The sequence below is a fragment of the Homo sapiens genome, chromosome 17 (genome assembly GCF_000001405.40).
Source record: "Homo sapiens chromosome 17, GRCh38.p14 Primary Assembly".
Taxonomy (NCBI): Eukaryota; Metazoa; Chordata; class Mammalia; order Primates; family Hominidae; genus Homo; species Homo sapiens.
The window spans coordinates 63,498,716-63,521,438 of NC_000017.11; the positions used below are offsets into that span (position 1 = coordinate 63,498,716).

General features: G+C 51.0%; 1 pseudogene, besides 3 other annotated features; it reads left to right on the plus strand.

The window, feature by feature from the left end:
• Positions 8,319 to 21,112, plus strand: ACE3P (angiotensin I converting enzyme 3, pseudogene; annotated as a pseudogene).
• Positions 16,565 to 16,614: an enhancer, noted in NCBI's record as "active region_12546". NCBI's record gives its function as "activates an Ori minimal core promoter by ATAC-STARR-seq in GM12878 lymphoblastoid cells {active_cell/tissue: GM12878}" and the evidence as "EXISTENCE:reporter gene assay evidence [ECO:0000049][PMID:35858748]".
• Positions 17,961 to 19,160: an enhancer, noted in NCBI's record as "P300/CBP strongly-dependent group 1 enhancer chr17:61594037-61595236 (GRCh37/hg19 assembly coordinates)". NCBI's record gives its function as "activates an origin of replication core promoter dependent on BRD2, BRD4, P300/CBP, MED14 and CDK7 cofactors, with strong dependence on P300/CBP, by STARR-seq in HCT116 cells {active_cell/tissue: HCT116}" and the evidence as "EXISTENCE:reporter gene assay evidence [ECO:0000049][PMID:35650434]".
• Positions 18,157 to 18,266: an enhancer, noted in NCBI's record as "active region_12547". NCBI's record gives its function as "activates an Ori minimal core promoter by ATAC-STARR-seq in GM12878 lymphoblastoid cells {active_cell/tissue: GM12878}" and the evidence as "EXISTENCE:reporter gene assay evidence [ECO:0000049][PMID:35858748]".

Consider the following 22,723-nt stretch of genomic DNA (forward strand, 5'->3'; position numbering starts at 1 on the left):
TGCGTGTCTCTGTGTGTCCGTGTCTGTGTGTGTGTTGTACACAGGCTTGGCTGTTACAGGCCCATTCTGTAAGGCAGGATGTGGGGCTGAGGTATTTTAGGATTGAAAGAGGGTGGAAGTTTATGATTACATAGGACAATGGAATTTATAAACATGTCCTCTAAATGGTTCCGAGTCATCTACCAATGAAGACTTCTTGAATTATCCCCCCTTTTCCCAGCCTGTTTTGAAAGCTCTTTGTTTACCAGACAAAGGTCATCATCATATGACCCCCTTTGCCTTTTTTTTTTTTTTAAGATGGAGTCTCGCTCTTGTTGCCCAGGCTAGAGTGCAGTGGTGTGATCTCGGCTCACTGTAACCTCCACCTCCTGGCTTTCAAGCGATTCTCCTGCCTCAGCCTTCCGAGTAGCTGGGATTACAGGCGCCCACCACCATGCCTGGCTAAATTTTTGTATTTTTAGTAGAGATGGGGTTTAATCATGTTGGCCAGGCTGGTCTCGAATTCCTGACCTCAGGTGATCCACCCACCTCGGCCTCCCAAAGTGCTGGAATTACAGGCATGAGCCACCATGCCTGGCCCCCGTTTCCTATTTTTATGAACCACAGCGGTTCATGCTGCCTGTCAGAGCTTCTGGGCCGCGTGAGGTCACCAGCTTTCAACACGCAAAGGACTGCACTGCAGCTGGGGGAAGAGAAACTCCACACTGCATTGGCCTGGCCAGCCTTACCCTCTGGGCTTTTGAAATAGTATCTTTTTTCTGTTTGTTTTCAAACAGAGTCTCGCTCTGTCGCCCAGGCTGGAGTGCTGGAGTGCAGTGGCCTGATCTCGGCTCACTGCAACCTCCACCTCCCAAGTTCAAGCGATTCTCCTGCCTCAGCCTCCCGAGTAGTTGGGCTACTACTTCAGGCGCACGCCGCCATGCCCAGCTAATTTCTTTTGTATTTTAGTAGAGATGGGGTTTCACCATGTTGCCCAGGCTGGTCTTGAACTCCTGAGCTCAGGCAATCCGCCCGCCTCAGCCTCTCAAAGTGCTAGGATTACAGGCATGAGCCACCGCGCCCGGCCCAATAGTATCATTCTTTAGATGCCTGCCTCTGCCTCCTTGGGTGAGTGGGGAGAGGCAGGGGATACCTGGAAGGTAGCAGAGGAAGAGGAGGCGGTAACAGCAGGAAGAGGGGCCACCCCAGTGTTTTCTACTGGTGGCCCTGAAGGCTGAGCCCATCCCCGTGCCATGCCTGCCAATGCCGCTCTTGGGAGACCAGCTCTCACCTACGCTAGCCACAGGTGGTGGCTGCCAGACAGTTTCTCTGATCCCCACAGCCCTCCCCACCCTCTACCTTCCTCTGTCTGCCTAACCCCCTTCCCACCCACCCTGGCTTTTAACATAAGTGAAAAAGTGGCTAACCCCACCTCTGCACTTATCACCTGTGTGACCTTGGGCAGTTTGTTTTTGCAGTCTGCATTTTCTTTTCTTTTCTTTTTTTTTTTTTTTTTTTGAGATGGAGTCTCGCTCTGTCACCCAGGCTGGAGTGCAGTGGCGTGATCTCGGCTCACCGCAAGCTTGGCCTCCTGGGTTCACGCCATTCTCCTGCCTCAGCCTCCCGAGTAGCTGGGACTACAGGCGCCAGCCACCACGCCCGGTTAATTTTTTGTATTTTTAGTAGAGACAGGGTTTCACCGTGTTAGCCAGGATGGTCTCAATCTCCTGACCTCGTGATTTGCCTGCCTCGGCCTCCCAGAGTGCTGGGATTACAGGCGTGAGCCACCGCGCCCAGCCTGCATTTTCTTTCTTACGGTTCTTATCAACCCTCTCAGCGTTGCCATGAAGATGAAATGAGATGATGTACAAAGTCCTAGTAGAGTGTCTTCTCTTTATAATGAATGCATCGTCTCCTGAGAAAGCTAGTTTCATAACAACCCCAGATCAGCCAAGTCCAGATCAGCCCTCTCACTTGAGACAGGAAGAGGACTCGGGGCAACTGGGTGCCGGAGCTGGACTGAAAACTCCCATCTCCCAGCTGCCTTCCAGGAACTTCCCCACCACACGTCCTTGCACAGCCAGTCAACTGTCTTCTTACTGGGAGCACACAGAGCTCGTCCACTGGGGGCCCACAGCTTGCCTCAGTTCCGGGAGTACTCAGCCATCTCCCTGTGTCGCCTCTCCCTCATCATCCCTCCCCATGTCACATCTCCCTCAGCCTCTCCGTGTTACCTCTCCCTCATCCTCCCTCCCCATGTTGCCTCTCCCTCATCCTCTCTCTCATCCTCCCTGCCCGTGTCGCCTCTTCCTCATCCTCTCCCTCATCCTCTCCCTCTTCCTCTCTCCCCATCTCTCCTCTCCCTCATCCTCCCTCCCCATGTCACTTCTCCCTCATCGTCTCCCTCATCCTCCCTCCCTGTGTCGCTTCCGCCTCATCTCCCCTCCCCATGTCACCTCTGCCTTATCCTCTCTCTCATCCTCTCTCCCCATCTCTCCTCTCTCTCATCCTCCCTCCCCATGTCGCCTCTTCCTCATCCTCTCTCCCTATGTCACCTCTCCCTCATCCTCTCCCTCATCCTCTCTCCCTATGTCATCTCTCCCTCATCCTCTCTCCCTGTGTCACCTCTCCCTCATCCTCTCCCTCATCCTCTCTCCCTATGTCACCTCTCCCTCATCCTCTCTCCCTATGTCACCTCTCCCTCATCCTCTCCCTCATCCTCTCTCCCTATGTCATCTCTCCCTCATCCTCTCTCCCTGTGTCACCTCTCCCTCATCCTCTCCCTCATCCTCTCTCCCTATGTCACCTCTCCCTCATCCTCTCTCCCAATGTCATCTCTCCCTCATGCTCCCTCCCCGTGTTGCCTCTTCTTCATCCTCTCCCTCATCCTCTCCCTCATCCTCCCTCCCTGTGTCGCTTCTGCCTCATCCTCTCTCCCCATGTCTCCTCTCCCTCATCATCTCCCCTCACCTTCGAGGATCCCCATAAGACCCTGCCTGGGGATTTCTATCTTGCCCTCTGTCTCCTAACTCTTGCTCATAGTGCTCACCCCATTTCCTGTCCTGTGTGCCTGGCGATTCCCCACCTGTGTCCTCCAGGCCCGGTGCTTCTGATTTTTAGCCTACTGTTTAATCTGGCTGTCGAGAGTTTTGTCGTTCCAATTTAATCCCTATATTTTTCATTTTAGCATCCCTGCTTCTTTCAAACCTCCTGGGTTTTCATAAACGCCTGTTTTTGCCTCACAGATTCTGTTCTCTGAATCACTTTAAAGACCTGGTTTTTTTAATTGTGGCAAAATATACATAATGTAAACTCACCATCTTAACCATTTTTAAGTGTACAATTCAGTGGCACTAAGTACATTCACATTGTTAATTGTTGTGCAGCCATCACCACTGTCCATCTCCAGAACAGTTTCATTTTTCTGTGTGTGACAAGGTGCCCCCAAAAAGTGTGCTTACTCTGTTGTCCAGGCTCACTGCAGCTTCAACCTTCTGGGCTCAAGCAATCCTCCCACCTCAAGCTCCACAGTAGCTGGGAGCACAGGCATGAACCACCACACTCAGATAATTTTTTTTAAGTTTTTAGTAGAGGCCAAAGCACGGTGGCTCACGCCTGTAATCCCAGTACTTGGGAGGCCAAGGCGATCGGATCACTTGAGGTCAGGAGTTTGAGACCAGCCTGGCCAACAATGGCAAAACCTCATCTCTGCTAAAAATATAAAAATTAGCCAGGTGTGGTGGGGGTCGCCTGTAATCCCAGCTATTTGGGAGGCTGAGGCAGGAGAAGCACTTGCACCCGGGAGGCAGAGGTTGCAGTGAGCCAGGATCATCCCATTGTACTCCAGCCTAGGCGACAGAGCAAGACTCTGTCTCAAAAAAGAAAAAAAAAAATTTTTTTTTGGTAGAGATGGGATCTCCTTATGTTGTCCAGGCTGGTCTCGAACTTCTGGGCTAAAGTGATCCACCTGCCTCGGCCTCCCAAAGTGCTGGGATTACAGGTGTGAGCCACAGTACCCAGCCTCTGTACCCATTAAACAGTAAAATCATACAGTATTTGTTTTGTCTCTGGCTTGTCTCAGCATAATGTTTTCAGTGTTTATCCATGTTATAGGATGTGTCAGAATTTCCTTCCCTCTTAAGGCTGAGTAATATTACATTACATGTATATACCACATTTTGTTTATCCATTCATTCATCCATGAACATATGGGTTTCCACCTTTTGGTTATGGTGAATAATGTTACTATGAACTGTAAAAAAAAGTAATTCAAAATCAAAGCTGTTGAAACTTTAAATTATTCTGAGCCTTGAAGGAAAGTAATTTTGGGACCTGAGTCACTTACGGGCAGCTATGAACTTTGTTTCCTTGATTATAGATTACTCCTTTTCCCCTTAGCTACATCATTTTGTAAAATGTTATAAAAGACTGAAGGGTGCCATAGAAGTTCCCTTTCCTCTTTTCTGTTGAACTTCATTATAGATGATTAACTTCCCTCTTCCTTCTCCTACGCAAAGACCTCACGACTGTCACATTGTCCAAGATGTGTTAAATGTACTCTTTTAAACTGAAAAAAAGAAAATAAGCTATTACTAATCAAATTGCTGTACCTCATAAACCAAACTTATATGGGAAATGTTGTGATTCTACCTAATTTCTTAGTTTTCTGACTATAAAGTAAGACCTTAAACTTTTCAGCTTCAGAGCACTGACCCCATTTCTTTGGAGCCTGTGAGAATGGCCGTCCTCAGCTTCACGCTCGAATAAACCTGTTAAACTGGATTCTGATCTTTTTTATTATTTCAGGTTGACAGAACACTGTGTGCAAATATCTGTTTGAGTCCCAGCTTTCAGTTCTTTTGTGTATATACCCAGGAGGATTGCCCGATCATATGGTAATTCTATGCTTCATTTTTTTTGAGGACCCACCAGACTGTTTTCCGCAGCGGCTCTGCCATTTTCCCCCAGCAATGCACAAGGTTTCCAATTTCTCCACACGTTGACCGACTCTTGTTTTCTGTTTTTTTGATAACAGCCATCCTAATGGGTGTGAAGTGGTGGCTTTGATTTGCCTTTCCCTAATAATTAGTGATATTGAGCATATTTTCCTGTGCTGATGAGCAGCTCATGTATTTTCTTTAGAGAGATGTCTACCCGAGTCCTTTGCCCATCTTTGTTTTTGTTGTCGTTGTTTGTTTGTGTTTGTTTGTTTGTTTTGAGGTGGAGTCTCACTCTGTCACCCAGGCTGGAGTGCGGCGAGGCAATCTCGGCTCACTGCAACTTCTGCCTCCTGGGTTCAAGCAATTCTCCTGTCTCAGCCTCCTGAGTAGCTGGGACTGCAGGCGCCCACCACCATGCCCGACTAATTTTTGTATTTTTTTAGTAGAGACGGGGTTTCACCGTATTGGTCAGGCTGGTCTTGAACTCCTGACCTCAGGTGATCCACCCACCTCAGCCTCCCAAAGTGCTGGGATTATAGGTGTGAGCCACCACGCCTGGCCCTTTGCCCATCTCTGAATGTTTGAGTTTGAGGAGTTCTTTATGCGTTCTGGGTATTAATTCCTTAGCAGATCTGAGAGTAACAGATATTTTCTCCCATTCCATGGATTGCCTTTTTGCTCTGTTACAGTGTTTTTTGATATGCAAAAGTTTAAAATTTTGATGAGGTTCAATTTGCTTATTTTTTCTTTTGTTGCCTGTGCTTTTGATGTCATATCCAAGCAATCATTGCCAAATCCAATGTCATGAAACTTCCCTCTGTGTTCTAAGAATTTTGTAGACTTTGCTCTTTTGTTCCCTCTTTCTTCTCCTACACAAAGATCTCATGACTGTCACATTGTCCAAGATAAGGTGTTAAATGTACTATTTTATTATTTTTATTTTATTTATTTATTTTTTGAGACAGAGTTTCATTCTGTCACCCAGGCTGGAGTGTAGTGGTGTGATCTTGGCTCACTGCAACCTCTGCCTCCCAGGTTGAAGCGATTCTCCAGCCTCAGCCTCCCGAGTAGCTGGGATTAGAGGCATGTGCCACCATGCCTGGCTAATTTTTGTATTTTTAGTAGAGACAGGATTTCACCATGTTGGTCAGGCTGGTCTTGAACTCCTGACCTCAAGTGATCCACCTGCCTCAGCCTCCCAAAGTGCTGGGATTACAGACATGAGCCATTGTGCCCAGCCTTAAATGTACTCTTTTAAATTGAAAAAAGAAAATAAGCTGTGATCCATTTTTGAGTTAATTTTTATACATGGCATAAAGACCTGCATTTTAAGTCCCTTTTGGATTGCTCTGCTACTTGTCCTTCCTCCATTGCAGTCTGCTTCATTCATTGTGTCTGCAGTTTAGCACAAGCTCTGGAACCAACCATATGAATTTGAGTCCCACTTCCACCATCCGCTGGCTGTGTGACTATGAGCAAATTCCTCAACCGTTCTGTACCTCTCTTTCCTCATCTGTAAAATGGGAGCGTTGATCACAGTACTTACCTCATGGGTTTCTTGTGAGGATTCATATGTTGAAAGCCCCCAGATGGTCCCTGGCACCTGGAACCAACCCACAGTGAGGGTTGGTAATTATTATTGTCCCTCCTAAAACTGGATTTTCTCTTATACTTGGTAAACTGTACCTATCAGCCATCTTCAGTTGGGTTGGAATGGCCTGCACAATCCCATGCATGCACCTGACGCTTGCAGGGGCTCCCAGCTTGGCAGAGACGCCATTTCCATCGGGATCAGCTATCCCCCCACACCAATGCTGCAGCTCTCTGGATGGATGCACCCTGACCTCCCCTGTGTTAGAGGAGAGGTGGGCGTGTTGAATCATGGAGGCAGACTTCCCCTTTGCCGTTCTCGTGATAGTGACTGAGTTCTCAGGATCTGGTTGTTTAAAAGTGTGTAGCGCCTCCCCCTTCTCTCTCTCTCCTGCCACCATGTGAAGATGTGCCTGCTTCCCTTTCGCCTTCCACCATGATTGTAAGTTTCCTGAGGCTTCCCCAGCCGTGCTTCCTGTACAGCCTGTGGAACTGTAGAGCCAACTAAACCTCTTTTCTTTATAAATTACCCAGTCTCAGGTAGTTCTCTATAGCAATGTGAGAATGGACTGTCTACATGCTTGAAGCAGGAAGGGAGACTTTCCTGTGAGCTCAGTCGATCAGCTTAACCAGAAGTGTCACTATTTTTTTCTTTCTTTCCTCATGTTATAAATATATTTTACCCATAATGGATCATATTGGGGGGTTATTTGGTCAGTTTCTCTAGTCGTGGTATCAGCCCATGTGTAGAGGTAGGGCCTTTTTGAAGATGTGAGCCATTGTGGGCTGAGAGTGATGGAAGGCAACCCAGGGTACAGGGATTCTGAGTGTGGAGGGAAGTGAGTCTGAGGAGAAATCCAAGGTGAGACAGATGGAGCTGGCCTCCACAGACCTCAGTGCAAGAGTACTGGGGGTGACCACAGGCCTACAGAGAGCTGGTGTCTTGCCAGCTGGTTTTCAGATCAGGCTCAGGTACTCATGGGCATGCACCCTGGATGGAGGGTGCCCGCCTCACCTCTCCACACCCCACCCAGTCCCTACCTTGTGTGCCCTCTCCTAATTGCAAACTCATAACATCAGGGTCTCCCTGGAGAAACAGGTATGATGGGGAGGGCCCTGCACAGCCCTGGGGTTGATTGCACAGCCCATAAGAGAGAAAAAGCCCAAACACGTGAACATAAGAGGTCAAGTTAGAAGAACCTAGAGAGATAACCTGGCTTCCAGAGACCCAGATATATCACATCCATCCATCCATCCATCCATCCATCCATCCATCCATCATCCCATCCACCTGCTCAGAAGTGGTCCCAGCCTATGGAGGGAGGGCCTCATCAATCCCTGGCCATAACCCAAGGGTGGCTCAAGCCCCAGGGAAAAGTGGCCGAGGAGAGCAGAACAAGTTCTGGCCTAAAAGTCAAGACCCCTGGTTCCTCTTTTTGGCTCGCCATTAGCTAACTACATGAACCAGATCATTTGGCTTGACTTTCTGGACCTCAGTCTCCCCACCTGTAAAATGGGGACAGTTGGACCAGGAGGTGGATGGGGATTTCCAGTTCTAACATTCTGTAGCTGAGCCTCTGGCCTCTGACGTCACAATATGGAGCTGGCCTCACCCAGCTCTGCTGCTCTGTTGGTCATGGGAGCAAGGTGGACTTGCCCTGGACCTTCCCTACTTGTGCTCCTCTGTTATGGGCAGCTCTTGCCTTGGCTCAGGATCAAGGGTGAACACAGTTTAGGTGTGGCTGGGACCCCAAGAAGCATGGGACCAGACAAAGGGACTGGGTGCGGACAGGACCTTCTCAGCACATGATGCCCATATCCTTCCCTGCAGATGACTTCTACAATGAGACCGAGACCAAGATCTTCCTGCAGTTTTATGACCAAACAGGTGAAGTTGTGTTGAACAAGTTCATGGAGGCCACTTGGAACTATGTCACCAATATCACCAGGAAAAATCAGGAGGAGATGATGTGATACCACCTCCACCCCAGCCTCTCCTCTCTTTGCTCTTTTTAGGGATTTGGGACCATGGGGCACCACATCTCCTGCCCCCATCCCAAGCAAGAGGAACAAGGGAAGCCCCAGTGTACATGTCAAAGAGGGCTGCAAGCTCTGGGCCTCCTGGAAGCCCTAAACTTCCTCCAGGCAAGAATCTCTTGCTTCTTGTCCTTTGTAAATCTCACCTCCTTGCTTTTAGAGATCCAGGTTTCTGCCCTCTCCCTCTCAGCAAATCTTGCTCCCTAAGCCAATGGGATTAGGGAGTCAGTTAGGGTGCCATGGCCCTGGAGGTCAAGTGGGACCCTTCCCCTGTCCCCCAACCTTGGTGGCTCTCTTTGCAGCTGCACAAGGACATGGAGAGGTCCCAGTTCATGATTTACTTTGGCACCCAGGCCCACCTGTTTAAAGTCACCCAGTTCAAGGACCCGGATGTGAATGGCATGCTGAGTAAGCTGCAGAACATAGACAAGGCGGCTCTGTCCAAGGACGAGCTGCGGGAGGTGATGGATGGAACCCCCAGGCCTTTAGGCACATGCTCCCTGGTCCTAGGGGTCTGGTAGGGGAGACAGAGTGCCTGGGGCAGGAGGGAGGCAGGGAGTGGAGGAAGGGCAGGATCAGAACTTCCTCTGGAGAAGGAGAGGAGTAGAGGTGGGGGTACCGATCTCTCCTGGCTGGTGGGGCGAGCACTGGGGGGGGACCTGGGGCACCAGCCTACCCTGGGTAACACCTGTCCCCCCAGTATAACGAGCTTCTGGCCTACCTGGAGATGACATACAGTATGGCCCAGGTGTGCCTGAATGAGGGGCCCTGCCTGTCCCTGGAGTCTGGTGAACACCCAAGCCCTGTCCCACCCAACCACAGAATCTCCAGCACTCAGTCCCTTCCAGGGGCCCCTCCCAGCCCCCAACCACCCTCCCTTATTGCCAGGAGGGTGAGGGAAGAGGCAAGTGGGAGTGGGTCCCCCATGGCTCCTTTTCTGGGCATAGAACTCGAAGTCATGGCCACCTCCAGGGACAAAGAGGAGCTGCTGTGGGCCTGGCAGGGCTGGCAGGATGCCGTGGGCCGCCAGATCTGCACCACCTTCGAGCACTATGTGGAGCTCAGCAACAAGGCTGCACAGCTCAACGGTGAGCAGATGGGATGCCACAGAGCTTGGAGTGATGGCAAGGAAGGGGCAAAGCTGAGCTTTCCCAGAGTGAAGGTGGCCGTAGGGCCCTGGAGACAGGACCTATGAGCCCTGCAGCTGGGCTCTCCAAATATTCATAGAGCACCTAGGTGCTAGGTGCTGGGGAGGTTCTGACGACACATAGGTGAAAAGACAGGCACCTGCCCTCATGCACCTACGGTCCTGCAGGGAGACAGACCATATTCAGTAAACACCTGTCTCTCACTACCATCTGGGGTGATGCGGAATAGGAAGAGGCTGCTGAGAAAGAGAATGAGAAGAGGCTGCTGCAGACAAGTGGACAGGGAAGGCCTCTGACATTTATCCAAGACCTGAAAGATGGGCAAAAGACGGGAAGCAAGATGTGAAAGAAGAGCAGCCTAGGCAGAGGCTCCGCGGCAGGAGGAGCCGGTGCTCTGGAAGACCTGAAAGAAGCCCAGGTGGCCACAGGGCTAAGGATGAGGTGGGATAAGAGGGGACTCAGGGCCTTGCAGGCATGGTGGGGAGCTCGGATCATGGACTTTGCTCAGTGCCTTTCTGAAATGGGCAGGTATTCTCCCCGTTTTGCCAAAGAAGACCCAGACGGTCAGCGAGGTTGAGTGGCTTCCCTAGAAGGCGTCTGGGTATCCTGTCAGCTAGGCCATGGCTAAAGGGTGAGATGGTGAGCTCCTGGTGAGTCCTCTCTCCTGTCCTAGGTTACAAAGACATGGGGGCCTTGTGGCACTCCAAGTATGAGTCGGATACCCTGGAGCAAGACCTGGAGCGGCTATTCCAGGAGCTGCGGCCACTCTACCTGAACCTGCACACCTACGTGCGCAGGGCCCTCCACCGCCACTATGGGCCCGAGCTCATCGACCTGAGGGGGCCCATCCCTGCCCACCTCCTGGGTAAAGGCCCTGCTGGTGGCCAAGGTGAGTGCCAGATAAGGGCAGAGACTGTCTCCAGCCTCCTCTTAGCCCCTCTCCTCCTCTTCCAGAGAACACGTTGGCTCAGTCCTGGGTCAACATCTTAGACCCGGTCCTGCCCTTCCTGAAGAAGATCCCAGAGGATGTCACAAAGATCATGAAAGTCCAGGTTAGTGCTTGGCCTGTCTGTCCCTGCCCCTCCCCACTGGCATCCTTGGACAAACAGGGCAGCGCCCCCCACACCCCCTCTTCTCCCATAGCACTGGAAGCCAGAGAAAATGTTGGAAGAGGCTGAGACATTCTTCACCTCCTTGGCGCTGCCACCTGCCCCACCCAGTTTCTGGAAAAAGTTGATGCTAATGAGGCCAACCGATGGGCGAGAGGTGGAGTGTCACATCTCTGCCTGGAACTTCTACCAGGACGACGATTTCAGGTGCTCACAGCGGCACCACACACCCGGTCCTCTCCTCTGCCCTGTCTGGCTGTCTTAGGTATGGGCAGGGGAAAGCCAGGGCAGAGGAGGGAGAAGGCAAGTGAGAAACACAGAAGGAAAGGTGACGTGAGAGGAAAGGGCTTGGTTGCTGGGTGGATATGGGGCCTGGAGTAAGAAAGAACAATTGCCGGCCGGGCATGGTGGCTCACGCCTGTAATCCTAGCACTTTGGGAGGCCAAGGCAGTGGATCACGTGAGGTCAGGAGTTCGAGACCAGCCTGGCCAACATGGTGAAACCCTGTCTCTACTAAAAATACAAAAATTAGCCAGGCATGGTGACATGTGCCTGTAATCCCAGCTAGGAGGCTGAGGCAGGAGAATCACTGGAACCTGGGAGCCGGAGGCTGCAGTGAGCCAAGATCGCACCATTGCACTCCAGCTGGGAGACACAGCAAGACTCCGTCTCAAAAGAAAAAAAAAAAAAAGAACAACTGCCAAGGCCTGTCTGGGCTCCAACCCGACCACCCAATCCCTCAAGGAGTCTGAATGGGGAAACTCCCTTTCTCCATGCTCCTTGACCCATGCCCTTTGCTTGTAGAATAAAGAAGTGCGCGGAAGTGACCACAGAAGACCCGCTCTCCATCTTCCACGAAATGGGCCATTCCAGTACTTCCTGCAGTACAAGAACCTCTCCATCATCTTCCGCGCAGGTGCCAACCCAGCCTTTGAAGAGGCTGTGGGGTCTGTGATCACCCTCTCGGCCTCCTCCCACAAGCACCTGCTCAACATAGGCCTGCTCAGCCTCTAGCACCAGGACTCAGGTGATGAGGATCAAGGGCCCAGCAGGAGGGCAGCACAAGCCTGGGACCGCAGCTAGGGCTTGGTGGGGTCAGGGCTCTCGGGCAAAGCTACGGGAAGGAGATCCCAGGGGTTGCCTCTTGACTGCCCTCACCCTCTTCCCAGAGGATGAGGTCAATTTCCTGATGCATATTGCCCTGGAGAAGATCGCCTTCATCCCCTTTGGCTACCTGATGGACCTCCTTCGCTGGAAGGTCTTTGACGGCACCATCTGGAAGGACATCTACAATCAGGAGTGGTGGAACCTCAGGTGGGTTGGGCACCATCTTCCACCAGATGGGCCATTTCCAGGACTTTCTGCAGCACAAGAACCTCTCTAATCTTCCACACAGGCACTGAGCAGGTCTTTTAGCCTTTCTAGGCTTCAGTCTCCTCATCTGTGAAAAATGGACCCTGGTGATGGCCCCACCTGCTCCCTGGGTAGCTGGGAAGCTCACACAATGATTGCAACTGAGCTTCTCTAATCACAGAACACTGACCACCAGGCAGGCCCTCCCAAACCTCCCTCCCTTCCTGGTGCCAGGCAATGGAGTGTGCGGGGGCCTGAGCACTTTCCTTTCTGGGGAAAGACTCCCCATGGGAGAGAGGCAGGCCCCTAAAATGCACGCATGCCTGCCTCGGGCTTAACATCCCCAAGCTGCCATGGGAACCCACCAGCAGTTGGGAGGCATCACTCTCGAGTGAGGGACCCCCGTGTTACACCTCATCACTGACCCCTGGCCATTTGATGGGATAATAAATGCCTGTGACCAGGGCTCCTCCATATGTGGCAGGCCGCGGACTGACCAGCTTCAGTCTGCTGGTCATAGTGTGATTCGGGGTTGCCAGGGGGTGCTCCTGGCTCTGCAACAGGCTCTTACTTTTTTTGTTTGTTTTTTGAGACAGGGCCTCGCTCTGTCACTCAGGCTGGAGTATAGTGGTATGATCACGGCTCACTGCAGCCCTGACCTCCCAGCCTCAACCAATCCTCCTTCCTCAGCCTCCTGAGTAGCTGGGACTATAGGTGTGCGCCACTATACTGGCTAGTTTTGTGTAATTTTTTTTTAAGAGATGGGGTTCGCCATGTTGCCCAGGTTTAAACTCCTGGGCTCAAGGGATCTGCCTGCCTAGGCCTCCCAAAATGCGGGGATTACAGGCATGAGCCACTGTGCCCGGCCTCTTATGTTTAATTTGAACATTTACAACCACCTTGCGTTGTGATCACTTCAAAGCGCTCAGCTCACAGAAGCAACAGCTGAAGCTCACAGAGGTCACAAACCAGCCCGAGGTCACACAGCAAACGAGCAGGTGACAGAGCTGGGAGCTCCTCCCCTTGTCCTCTTACTCCCACCCTTGACTTCAGGAGCAGGTCTCCCTGGTGGGCTTGGCAGAGTCTTGACCTCGTGCCTCTCTAAGGTCACCCTCATAGGCCATCTGAGGCACCTGCAGGAGGCCTCTGTCAGCCCTGCCCATCACCCCAGCTGATGGAACCCTGGGGCTAAGCAGGAGGGGTGGCAACTCCCTGGGCCTTGAATAAGGCCCTGTCAACTGGGAGGGAAGCTCCTGACACTCTGTTGACCTTGGAGATGGTTCAGAGGCTCCAGTGAGCCAATGATGAAGCCTTGTTTTTGAGACAGGGTCTCACTCTGTTGCCCAGGCTGGAGTGCAGTGGTGCAATCATGGCTCACTGCAGCCCTGACCTCCTGGGCTCAAGCGATCCTCCTGCCTCAGCACCTGAGTAGCTGGGACTACAGTTGCGCACCAGAACACCTGGCTCATTTTTGTATTTTTTGTGGGGACAGGGTCTCACTTTGTTGCCCAGGCTGGTCTCGAACTCCTGGGCTCAAGCAATCCTCCCACATCAGCCTCTCAAAGTGCTGGGATTACAGGTGTGAGCCACCACACCTGGCCTACTTCCTTCCATTTTATAGACATTTTACAACAAGACTCGGAGACAATCAGCAACTTTCCCACAGTCGCACATCTCAGAGGGGCAAAAACAGACCTTCAGGTTATCAGGGTGTGACTGTGACTGGCTCTGTGTCCTGAGGCCAATTCCCTGATCTCCAAACCTTGGTTTCCTCATCTGCAAAATGGGAATAATAGTAGTACTGCCCCACAGTGATGTTACTCTTTTTTCTTCTCAAGACTTCTTACTAGATGAAATGACCTTGTTTATTGGTCTATAATCTGTCCCCCACTGTTAGGATGCAAGCAGGGGCCTTGCCTCCCCCGCTCCCCCACTGGTCCCTCCCCCAGAGACCAGGACGGTGTTGAGTGCATGATGCGTGAGTCTATGTGGAGAGCCAGACATGGTTCTGAGCATAGAGGAAGTGTTCAGTCAGTGTTAACTGCTATTGTTTTACTCTGATTCCCAATCCCATGTGTTTTCATTTATTTAATCAATAAAAATGCATTAGGTATCCTCAGCCTGCCAAGTCCAGTTTTGATAGACACGTAGGTGCTTTGAAAAGAAAAAGGCAGGCCAGGTGCGGTGGCTCACGCCTATAATCCCAGCTACTTGGGAAGCTGAGACAAGAGACTCACTTGAACCCAGGGTGGGGAGGTTACAGTGAGCTGAGATCACGCCACTGAACTTCAGCCTGGGCAACAGGGCAAGACTCTGAAAAAAAAAAAAAAAGAAAGAAGAAAAGAAGGAAAGGAAGAAAGGAGGGAGGGAGGGAGGGAGGGAGGGAAGGAAGGAAGGAAGGAAGGAAGGAAGGAAGGAAGGAAGGAAGGAAGGAAGGAAGGAAGGAAAAGAAAGAGGCTCTGAGAACCTGCCAGACACCACCACCAAGCCCTCTGCCTTTTCCCTGCCAGGTTGAAATACCAGGGCTTGTGCCCCGCTATTCCTCACTCAGAGGAAGACTTTGATCCAGGTGCCAAGTTCCACTTTTCTGCAGGTGTGCCCTACATACGGTAAAGGTCTGGGCCCTGTTAGCAGTGCCAGTCCTAGGAGTTGAGGGGCATGGGAACTGGGGTGAGGATTTGCAGGAAGGCCCTAGGTCCAAATGTCACCCTGTACCCGTGCCCATCTCTTCCTGTTGGGCTGTGCAGCCTTCTGAGGCCTCTGACCTAGAATCCTTTGAGCTTTTGCATCAGGTCCAGTGTAGAGGGCAGAGCTGATGAGAATATTCTAGACCATCCCTGCTGTCCCTTGGAGGAGAGCAGGTCAGAGGGGGGCAAGGGTTGGGGTGACTGCTGGTTCAGAAAGCTAGAGAAGGAGAGCCCCCCAGCACTCTAGGGTCAGCCCAAGACTGGGCCCTGCCCAAGGAGCCTCCGCTCAGGCAGTGACTGCTGACATGGGGCCCTCGTGGCCACTGCATGTCAGAGCTGCCTGGTCCCAAGTGGCTCTGAGTTTCCCACTCCTGGTCTCCACTCCCCAGCCTGCCCTCACGTTTCTCAACCAGGTACTTCCTCAGTCTGGTGCTCCAGTTCCAGTTCCACGAAACACTGTGCAAAGCCTCGGGCCACATGGGTCCACTGCACCAGTGTGACATCTACAACTCCAAGATTGCCGGGAAGCTCCTGGGGTGAGTGCCCTCTCCTTCATTTGTTCTGGGCTCCCCCATCTCCCTTTAAGGAAGTCCTGCTCCAGGCTCCCTCTCCACACCTGACTACACTAGACACCTTGAGCAGAGCTTCATTAAGCTTATATTCTAGCGGAATTTCTTCCTCATGTCAGACTGCAGTCTTTCCTACATTAATCAGAGCCCATTTCCTCTTGTGTAGCCTTCTGTGTTCAGAGACACTGCTTAGGCTGGGCGCAGTGGCTCATGCATGTAATCCCAGCACTTTGGGAAGTCGAGGCAGGCGGATCACCTGAGGGCAGGAGTTTGAAACCAGCCTGGCCAACATAGTGAAACCCCGTCTCTACCAAAAATACAAAAATTAGCCGGGCGTGATGGCAGGCACTTGTAATCCCAGCTACTTGAGAGGCTGAGGCAGGAGAATCACTTGAATGTGGGAGGTGGATGTTGCAGTGAGCCGAGACTGCACCATTGCACTCCAGCCTGGGCAACAAGGTGAAACTCCATCTCAAAAAAAAAAAAAGAAAGAAAGAAAAGACAATGTTTAGCCCCTCCCACTAACACACACACACACACACATGCACACACATATGCCAGTAAGCCAAACTGTCCCAGATAGGAAGCCAGCACTGGGGTTCTACCTCAGGCTTCAGCCTTCCGTCCGAATCCCCCTTATCCTTTCCTTACAAGGTGCTGACCTACCCTCTCAGCAGCACTTGGCACACCCTTCAGTGCAGTCTGTTTCTCCCACCTCTTCTTGGAGGTGCCCAAATCCAGTTCCCAGGCTGATCCAGGTTACTTTCACAGTAGCCTCTTGGCATGCTTCTGGTCAGCCTGTGGTCCACTTTGACCCTTGAGTCTTTTTCTCTGCACTTGGTGTTTAGCTTATTCTTTCCATGCTTACCTATGTGGCAGTGGTTTTTAGTCCCAAAGCAAACCCTGAGGGAGTAGGGGACTGAACTGAAAATGTGAAGCATTTACTACTACAGGAGGTGCTCTCTGATGAGTACTCTTACAGTGTTTCATATTATAATAATAGCTCTTAACTTTGCAAAGTGGATATTATTATCTGCCTTTTACAAATTATGAAACTGAAGGCAAGAGAGGTGGTGTCGTTGTGCATCATTCATCTAGCAAGAAGCAAAGTCATGCTTTGAAACCAGAACTGACTCCAGAACACATTATCTTTCACCCTGTTCGCCTCCATCATTCAAAGAATACAGCCCCTGGTGAGCTTAGATCCAGGTCTAACTGGTTCCAAGATCAGCACTCCAACCTTGGAGATGTGGAGCTCACCCACCGACTTGATCATTTTCCTGTTGAATTTCAACGGATTTCAATAGGTCCATTTCCCTAATTGGTCAAGGTCATCTTGAGCTTTATTCCTGTCTCCTAGAGGATTAACACTGCCACAAATTTAGTATCCTTTGCAAATTTAATGAGCATATTTTTGATTCCACCATGCAATTTATCTGTAGCCACCAGGCCAGATGGGGTTTCAGGACTGATCCCCTGGGCTTTGCTCCTAGGGAGGGCTGCACCTTGCATGACTGTTGTCTCCCTAGTAGATTTGCTCTTCCATCCTTTCACGTCTCAGGGCTTTATTCTAGCTGATTGCCCAGCTTTGAGCTTTTCTGAACATGTTGAACATAAGGGCACCTCTCTGCTCTTTGCATTCCTATCTCTGGCTGCCTGTCATTTATTCATTCAGTAAACATTTACTTGTCCTCATGCAGACCAGCTGCTCTGCATCCAACAGGGGTAGATGAACCACAGGATAAATAAATTTCATGGCCGGGCATGGTGGCTCACACCTGTAATCCCAGCACTTTGGGAGGCTGAGGCTGGCGGATCACCTGAGGTTAGGAGTTCGAGACCAGCCTGCCCAACATGGAAAAACCCCGTCTCTACTAAAAATACAAAAAATTAGCTGAGAGTGGTGATGGTTGCCTGTAATCGCAGCTACTTGGAAGGCTGAGGCAGGAGAATTGCTTGAACCTGGGAGGCGGAGGTTGCAGTGAGCCGAGATCATGCCACTGCACTCCAGCCTGGGCGACAAGAGGGAAACTCCATCTCAAATAAATAAATAAATAAATAAGTAAATAAATAAATTTCATAATACCAGGCAATGGAAAGGGGCTTTCGTGAACATAGAAAGAGGATTAGGAGGTCATGCTGGGGGACCAAGGAGGGAGTTTTGTCCTCAAATGCAAGTGTGCAAGAAATAGCAGAAAGCAGGCATGGTGGCTCATACCTATAACCTCAAAACTTTGGAAAAGCCAAGATGGGAGGATCCCTTAAACCTAGGAGTTTGAGACCAGAGTGGGCAACATGGTTAGATCCTGTATCTACAAAAAATGAACAAAATTTGGCCAGGCATGGTGGCACGCACTTGTAGTCCCAACTACTCAGGAGGCTGAGGTAGGAGGATCACTTAAGCCTGGGAGGTCGAGGCTGCAGTGAACTGAGATCACACCACTGTGCTTCACCCTCGGCAACAGAGCGAGACCCCCGTTTAAAAAAAAAAAAAAAAAAGGAGAAGAAGAAAGAGAAAAAAATAGCAGATATCTGTTTTCTTTTCTTTTCTTTTCCTCTCTTCTTTTCTTTTCTGTTTTTGAGACAGTCTCACTCTGTCACCCAGGCTGGACTGCGGTGGTATGATCTCGACTCACTACAACCTCCACCTCCTGGGATCAAGCAATTCTCGTGCCTCAGCCTCCAGAGTAGCTGGGATTACAGGCACACACCACCACGCCTGGTTAATTTTTGCATTTTTAGTAGAGACGGGGTTCTACCATGCTGGCCAGGCTGGTCTCGAACGTCTGGCCTCAAGGGATCCACCCACCTCAGCCTCCAAAAGTGCTGGGATTACAGGTGTGAGCCACCACGCCTGGCCAAGATATCTGTTTTCTTTTACATCAACTCACCTCTTTCATCCCACCTGATTGGTGGGATGTTTGACCTCAGTCATTTTCACCACTTCCCACGCTCACCCCACTCAAGGTGCACAGGGCTCTCAGGGTCTGACTTGGCACCAAAGCATGTGGCCAGTGAGTCATCTCTTGTCATTGCTCACCAGTCCCTGTGTGTCCCTGGCCAGACTCCTGCTCAGGGAAAATCCTGATTCCAGGCTTAGGACTTCACATACCATTTTGTGAGCCGTGGGCAGAGGAAAGGTTTCTGAGTAAGGAGGATATCATGACCTTTGCAGATGATGAAATAGCAGCAGAGCCGAATATGGTTTGTGGAGGGGAGAGGGGATGTGAGTGCTTGCAGGGGGAAAAGAGAAAGATTCTTGGCTGCTCTTTTGCCTAATTGATCTTAAAACTTGGTTTTGCTACTTTTGATTCATCCTCCTAAATGTGATGGCCCTGAGTCAGGCTCTGGGCTGCTTCTGTTGGGAATGGAGGGTTGAATTGGGCCTGGTCAAAGTTCTCAAAGTCACCCAGCTTCACCCCACCAGCCATGGTGCGCCTGACCTTGTCCATGGGGTGTGTTGTTGTCACTTTGGAGTTGAAAGCTCCAGGCAGCATCTAGTTGTCATCTCTGCTGCTCTCTGGTCTCATGTCCTGTCCACATGGGCTGTTGGCTGCCCTTTGGTCAAACATCTTGTCCCACCCAGCCTGAAGGACTGTTTCTAAATGGGTAGATTCTCAATGGTTGAAGCTTTTCCCCTACTAGGTTCTTCCTCTTACTCAGGAGCCAGCATCAGAACCTCTTACCTAGAGTTAGTTGTGGTTTTTCTTCTCCAGTGGTATCTGCCAAGGCCCCACTGACCTTTGGTTTCCCTAACTCTTTCTTTTCCAGTTGTTTATTAAGTGATGCGCATAAGCCTTTGCAAGCTACAAACCCTCCTTCATCATTGTGGGACTTAGTCCTCATCACAATGAGGGCAGGTATTCATGGCTCCCATTTTACTGATGAGGAAACTGAGGCCGAGAGAGGCTAAGTTGTCTGCTTAAGGTTATGCAGTCCATAAGTAGCACTGCTAGGTCAGGTTTAAGCCTGGGCCCTGTTAGTCTAGACTCTAGATCGTGACCTCTGGGCCTCTGGGTCCCAAGTCTGTCCTGAGAGTTGGATCAAGGAACAACAGGTTGTGAAGGATAAACATCTGCCCACCACTGCCTCTCCTGGGGACTCTGGAGTGGAGAAGCCTGGAGCCCTGGCTTCAGCACACCTTATACTCCCATTGTGAGCCCAAGGGACCTAGCATAAAGTTCAACCACCTGCCCCTAAGGACCGGGTGTGCCGTGAAACACAGCTGACATTTGTGCAGCACTACAGGTGGTGTGCGGAGCACCTCCCATGCTCATGATGTTTCTAATCCTCCCAAACCCTCCCTGAAACCAGAAAGGGGTGAAGAGCTGCCACTATCTACCAACACCGAGCACCTCACGGGAAACAGTGTCTCAGGACTTTATGCCTATTTGAGTCCAGGAGAATAATAATCATCACAGTATTACCAGTAGTACTAGGAATCATCATCATCATCAGTAGTTAACGTGTATTGCCTGCATGCTATGCTCCCAGCACCGTGTTTATTTAATCATTACAATGGCTCTTCGAGGTAGATACCATTATCATCTCCGTTTTATGGATATGGAAACTGAGGCTCAGAAAGGTTACTTGCCCAAGGCCCCACAGCTACTAAATGGCAGAGCTGAGATTCAAACCCAGATTAATCTTCTTTCAAACTTGTGATTGTATCCACTATGCCAAGCTCTGCGGGAAAGTTCTGGCTGGCCAATCGCTGGGGCTGGGATTGGGTGCACTGGGGGTCTCAGCTGCACCAGCTGATGCCCTCACACAGCCTCACAGCTGCACCCACTCCCCTAGGGATGCTCTAAAGCTGGGCTCAAGCAAGCCCTGGCCAGAGGTCCTAAAGATGCTGACTGGGGAGTCTGAGGTGTCTACAAATGTCTTCATGACCTACTTCAAACCCCTACTGACCTGGCTGGTGACAGAACATGCAGCAAGGGGACATCTTAGGCTGGCCAGACTTCAGCTGTTCCTTTGAAGGTTTGATAATCTGACCCTGGTTCCAGCTCTGGGCCAGCCCCAGGCTCCACCTTACCCTGCTCTGTCCTAGTACCTACCCCTACCCAGCCTTAACCCCTGGCTCATTCATGACCTGGCTTGAATCAACAGCACTGCTGCTGTGGGACCCTGTCTGTACCAGGCCTGATGCAGCTTCAGCCAAGACCACCGCTCCCACCACAGCCCCTGGCTCAGTTGCTTCCTTGCACACTGTCCAGCTAGGTTGCCAGGCTGACATCTGAGCAAAGGATCAGCATCTTGCCTCTGGTCCCTTGCATGCAGGGGCATGTAGTCCAATCAGATCTCCTCTGACAGCCACAGGAGACCCCAGGGGTCCCTCTCCAGTTCTACCCACCCTATGAGACTCCTATGTCTTCCACAGAAAAAGACACAGACAAAGTGACATTCCTGAGTCTGAAGCTGGACCCCAACCAGGCTAAATTTGGGTACTGGGTGCTGTTGGCCCTGGGCTTTGTCATGTCTCTGGTGGTGCTGGGGCTGGCCTGCAGGCTGCAGTCCCTGGAAAAACAGTCACTGACTCAAGACACTGAGATATTCAGCCCACTGCCCAATGCCTGCTTCCTGGGCATAGCCATGGAACCCTGCCAGGCTGCTAAAGGACAGTGGATGCTGCTGGGCCTCTGCCTTGTCCTGATGCTGTGCTCAATCAGCCTGGCCATCTGGATTTTCACACAGTAAAGCAGGAAGCCTCCAAGGGTAAGAGCTGAATGGTGAAGTTGGGACTAGACACCAGTGAACTGGTGAGGCTGGGGGGCAGGAGGAGGGAGGCTGAGCCAGAGAGTTGGGGGGCAGAGGAGGGGACAGCCTGCATGCATAGTGCCCAATTATAATTGGGTTCAGCTGTGGCAGATCTGGGTACATGTGATATTGTAATTGTGTGTTTGCAAACTCATGTATGTGAGGCTGTGTGCACAAACAACTGGCTCTATGTGATTCTATGTGTGTCCTGGGTTTCAGGCCAAACTCCTTCCCCTGGTGGCTCAGGACCTAAGGTTTTATTGACCCAGTGGCTGTGTCCCTGCAAACCAGCCCCCACCCCAAGTCATGCCCAGAATTGGTTCTGCACACAGCCTTGTTTTTTTCAGTAACCCGGCTATGGGACTGCAGTGCCCAAGGAATTTCTGCTCTGGTTAGAAAAAGGACTCTGCTTCAGTCCACTTCTGCTCTGGTTAGAAAAAGGACTCTGCTTCAGTCCACAGTACATAAAATGTACTCAGGTAGGACAGGACATTCCTTTACGAATCACCAGTGCCCAGTTTATGAGCACTGTGCTTTTATACCAACCAGCACATCTTTCTGCTAATCCTTGGGCCAGCCCTGTGTTGGACTACATAATCCAGCCCCCAAAAGCTCTTTGTTGACCAGTTGAGATGTAAGTAGCCTCACAAACTGCCCCATGGCTCTCTCTGCCCCAGCCCAAGCCCTTCCAAATGGAGACAGTGGGTTGCTGGGCATTGAGCCAGGCTTGATTAATGATTGACTTCTTTAATATTTAAACAAAGCTCATCTCCAACCACTCTGCTCTGGAGATGGCCTTGTTCAACACACACACACCTGCTGCCTGGCCCGTTGCCCTGGGGAGCGAGCATAGGACAAACAGCACCTTTTCAGGCTCAGTGGGGGATGGGGAGGACAGGAAGGAGGGAACTGTAGGAGAATACTTGGGAAATTAGTGCTCTAGAAACAAGCCTGGGGAAAGAACGGGAAGGCCTCTGCCTCTGCCTTTCCTAGTTCATTATCCTCAGCCTGGGTCTGCCTGCCATGAGGATCCTACATTCAATATTGGGGATTCAGAGCGTCTGGATGGAGGTTGCATGGGCTCCTGGGGAGGCTGGGAGTCAGTGTCTGTCAGAGAATAGGGAAAACTTGAGGGGAAAGGGCATTATAGCCAGTAACTACAGAGAAGGGGTACCCCGGCTGCAACTGAGCTGGTGGGAGGGTGGCCAAAAGAGGAGACCAGGTCTCTCTGAATTAAGAATCTGAGCCCCAAACTCAGGTGTTCAGGGGACAGAGATACTAGGCTGAGATCTCCATGGACCCTGCCCCTGTCCAGGTTTCAAAAGGTCTTTCTGAGATCTGGCTGAGCCCAAGCACTTGCTCCAGCCCCAGGCTCCACAGCACCCTTGTTTGATGACTCTGTCCCTGCTCTTACTTTTCTGTGCCATAATGTCCTTATTTGTCCCTATTACTAGCTATCAGCTCTATAAGAGCTGGATGCACATCAGGAGTGTGCCCCTCTGTAACAACTCTAGTCAGCACAGGCCATGGTGCACAAAAGGGACTTGGAAA